The sequence below is a fragment of the Homo sapiens genome, chromosome 8 (genome assembly GCF_000001405.40).
Source record: "Homo sapiens chromosome 8, GRCh38.p14 Primary Assembly".
NCBI classification, from domain to species: domain Eukaryota; kingdom Metazoa; phylum Chordata; class Mammalia; order Primates; family Hominidae; genus Homo; species Homo sapiens.
In genome coordinates, this window is record NC_000008.11 from 77,926,635 (window position 1) to 77,931,380 (window position 4,746).

The 4,746-nt window shown below is 33.5% G+C and overlaps 1 annotated feature.

Annotated features, from left to right (window-relative positions):
• Positions 3,435–4,068: an enhancer, noted in NCBI's record as "OCT4-NANOG hESC enhancer chr8:78842304-78842937 (GRCh37/hg19 assembly coordinates)". NCBI's record gives its function as "activates a minimal SCP1, AML or CMV promoter by ChIP-STARR-seq in naive H9 embryonic stem cells {active_cell/tissue: H9 hESC(naive)}" and the evidence as "EXISTENCE:reporter gene assay evidence [ECO:0000049][PMID:30033119]".

Sequence of the window (4,746 nt, forward strand, 5' to 3'; positions counted from 1 at the left end):
CACAATGGAATACCATCTCACACCAGTCAGAATGGCTATTATTAAAAAGTCAAAAAATAACAGTTGCTGTGAGGTTGTGGAAAAAAAGAGAAAGCATATCCACTACTGGTAAGAATGCAAATTAATACAGCCACATGGAAAGCAGTTTGAAGATTTCTCAAATAACTCAAAACAGAATTACCATTCAACCCAGCAATTCCATGATTGGCTATATACACAAAGTAATATAAATTGCTCTACTATAAAGAAACATACACTTGGATGTTCATCACAGTACAATTCACAACAACACAACAACAAAAACATGGGATCAACCTAAATGCCCAACAATAGACTGGATTAAGAAAAATGTGATACATATACACCATGGAATACTATGCAGCCATTATAAAGAATAAGATCATGTCATTTGTAGCAACGTGGATGGAGCTAGAGGCCATTATCCTAAGCAAACTGATACAGGAACGGAAAATCAAATACCACATGTTCTAACTAATGAGTGGAAACTAAACACTGAATACTCGTGGACACCAAGAAGGGGTCAACAGATGCAGAAGCCTAATTCAGGATGGAGGAAGAGAGGAGGGTAAGGATTGAGAAACTACCTATCAGGTACTATGCTGATTACCAAGGTGATGAAATAATCTGCACACCAAACCCTCAAAAAATGAAGTTTACCTATATAACAAACCTGCACATGTACACTTGAAACTACAATAAAAGTGAAATAAAAATTCTAGATTTTGAGAAAATTGAGGACTGCACAAATGAAGATTATATCCTGGCCTTTTGTTATGCCTTAATATTTTTCAATTGTCTTGAAAATATTTTATAAATGTACGGGGTATAAATGCAATTTTGTTACATCGACACATTACACAGTTGTCAAGTTAGAGCTTTTAGAATACCCATCACCTGAACAATGTACATGATACTCAATATGTAATTTCTTATCATCCATTCTTCTCCAACCTCCTCATCTTACAAGTCTCTATTGTCTATCATTACACTCCCTACATCCATGTATACACAATTTTTAGCTCTCACTTATGAGTAAACATGCAATATTTGTCTTCCTACGTCTGACTTATTTCACTTGAGGTAATGACCTCTAGTTCCAACTATGTTTCTATAAAAGACATGATATCATCTTTTATGGCTGAGTAGTATTCAATGGTGTATAGATGTCACATTTTCTTTATTCAATCATTCATTGATAGAAACTTAGGTTGATTCCATATCTTTGCTATTGCAAATAGTGCTACAATAAACACATGTGTGAAGTCAGCTTTTTCATATGTTGATTTTTTTTTCCTTTGGCTAGATACCCAGTAGAGTTATTGCTGGATCAAACGGTAGATCTACTTTTAGTTTGCTGAAAAATTGCTATGCTGTTTTCCATGAAGGTTGTATTAATTATATTCCCACCAACAGTGTATAAGTATTCCCTTTTTTTCCACATCCTCACCAACATCTATTGTGCTTTAACTTTTTAATAGTAGCCATCTTGACTGTGGTAAGATGATACTACCTTGTGGTTTTACTTTGCATTTCTCTGATAATTAGTGATGCTGATCCTTTTTTCACATATCTCTTGGCCATTTGTATGTCTTTTTTTTTAAAAATACCTATTCATGTCTTTTGCCTGCTTTTTAATGGAATTATTTCTTGTTGTTGTTGTTGTTATTTGAATCCCATGTATATTCTGGTTATTAGTCCTCTGTCAGATGCATAGCTTGTAAATGTTTTCTTCCATTCTGCAGGTTGTCTGTTCACTCTGTTGATTAATTATTTTGCTATGCAGACACTTTTGTTTTTGAGAGTAAATAGGGCTCGTTTTTGGTCTCATGGCTTATTTATTGGAGGTGAATAATGGAGACAAGTTTTTGACTGAAGAGGGAAATGATTCAGATATGATATGGTTTAGATATGATTTCAGTACTTGCTTATCAGACTTTATCTGCTTCCAAAGTAATTTAATCTAGAGGAAAGAAAAAGTTAATACAGATGGCCTGTGATTTATTTCTTCCACGGTCATAGGGATGCAGGTGGATGTGCAATGTTCACATCAGAAGGAAAAGAAGGTTATAAAGTTTAATCTCCAACATGGTAACTAGATGTATTAGTCAGTTTTCATACTGCTATAAAGAACTGCCCAAGACTGGGTAATTTATAAAGGAAAAAGGTTTAATTGTCTCACATTTCCATGTGGTTGGGGAGGCCTCAGGAAACTTACAATCATGACAGAAGGAGAAGGGGAAGAAAGGCACCTTCTTCACAAGGCACCAGGAAGGAGAATGAATGCAGGAGGAACTACTAAACACTTATAAAACCATCAGCTCTCGTGAGAACTCACTATCATGAGAACAGCATGGGGGAAACTGCACCTATGATCCAGTTATCGCTACCTGGTCTCTCCCTTGATAACGTGGGAATTATGGGGATTATAATTCAAGATGAGATATGGGTGGGGACACAAAGCCTAATGATATCACTAGATCTTCAGGTAAATACATTAATATATGCTAGGAAGAGAATCTTGGTTTTTATGTGTTTTTTAGTATTTTCTTATTTGGACATTGCTTATGATCAACGCCCCTAGAATCTGTGGATGTTTTAGACATAGATCCCTAGAGAATGTCGCATACTAGGTCTTTTTATGCACTAAACCTTATATAATATGACTCATTATGGAGCATGACTGCTTTAATCCTTCACTTCACAGACTGAGCCTCAGAGCAATTAAGTAACTCACCTGGTTCATGCATTTATTAAGTGCTAAAAGCATAATTTGAATTTCAACTGTTTGGTGTTTGAAGTGATGTTAGCAACTATTATACTAGGATAATTCATAGCATAAGAAAAATACAGAATATTTTGCTTTTTATAATTTATTTACTATTTTGGCAACACATTAAAAACCTATACTTCAGGTCTTGGTGTATTTTAGAGGCCCCATTTCTCTGAAATTAATATTAACTCTAATTGTCCTCAAAGTATAGGCTCTAAGGTAAGAAGACTATATCTTTTGTATTGGTTGAAGTTAAGTCATTTTACTGAAACTGGTAAAATTAAATGAAATCTACTGATTGCATATTCCCTATATATAATATAAAAGTATAAAGACTTGTACAAGCTATAAAAGGATATGTTAGAGAAGTCTTCCTCCTCCTCCTCCTCTCCTCTTGCTTTTCTGAAACATTACCCTTGATTGGACTTATGCACGTAATGGTTTGGAGGACAGAATGTCATGCCTTCTGGAGCAAAAGCCAGATAACTTATGGAATGCAAATCTGTATGTATAGATAATATAACCTTTAGTAAATTTAAGGTAAATAAAAACAACTCATCAAACAGAATGCTTCAGCATTTCTGCTTTCATTCATGTTTCAGAGATTTATATATTTTATCCTGATTTTCTCAATGACTGAACTACCCCTTTCTTGGGCCCCCCCTAACAAATAGTTCTGATTTAGAAAATAAATTTTTATTCTGAAGTTTTTTAAGTCAAAGGTAAAAAGAAACTTTTTTTAATAATTAGAAAGTATGCTTAGTTAATTTTCTCACCTTTCTCTGTTGTCATCATCAGAGAAGCCAAGTCATTTAGATGGTCATTATTTCTTTTTCATAAGAAATTAATGTAAATACTTGAAAGTGAGCCCTCTATTGTTGTGAAAATACCAGCTCATCAAAACCAACTGAAAATCAAAGCTGTGATAACTAACGACCACCTGCACAATAAGTAGAAGATTGTCTCTAATTCAGTCTCTGTTGGATTCCCTTTGAAATGGTCAGTTTTACTAAATATTCATAGCTTTCAGTAAGCTCTAAACAACAAAAAAACAGAATCAAATCTGCTGAACCCATTTGCATTAACATCTATACTCAGAGACATAAAGGTTAGAAGCTCTCCATGGTTACCATTAAAGTATTCAGAAAAAGATGACAATTTTAAGTATAACAGAAACAATAGAATGAAAAATAGAATTTATTTTAATAGCACATTGGCATACACCATGTCAGGTAATTTAAAGTCTAGAGATACTAAAACATAATAATAACAACGCTTAGGTAGAGTTAGCTTAATTACATGTCAACAGCTAATACCACAGAAACACTACTAGATCCATTTTTATTTGCCGTATACCTGATTTTTAATATTTGCTTTAAGATTAAAACTTTGTATTAATGTATAGTAGGTACATTATTAAATATAGGCATTAGAAAGCCTTTATGTTAGTAGAAGAGAGAAATCATTTGGAGCTGAGAGTTAGTTAGCCCTACTGGATTGCCACTATTATGAGACTGGCAACATTTTTGTGACATTTGTTTTTTCCTGAGGAGTTAAAAGTCTCAGGAGGAGATGCCATGTAATATCTTGTGACAACTGGTTGCATTGAGGGTAATGTCTTACATTTTAGGAATTTATACAAATCTGAAGATTTCTATTCTTAAAATATAAGACATTAAATTGAGAGCACTATAAAGAAACGCATGGAACCAACATTTCATTAATACAAATATCTCTGAATAGAATGTATAATTAAAAGGATTCTGAGGCATATAATTCTATTCTACAAATTCTTACATGTACATATTCTAAGAGGTCTTTAATTAAATCAAAGTTCTTAGAGGTAACTTAAATAATGTTAATGCAAACTCTCCATCTCTAGATTTACACCATGTTGATGTCACCTTTCGACACTTACTACTGCCTTTAGTTGTGTATTTTTTGTATCAGTGGAA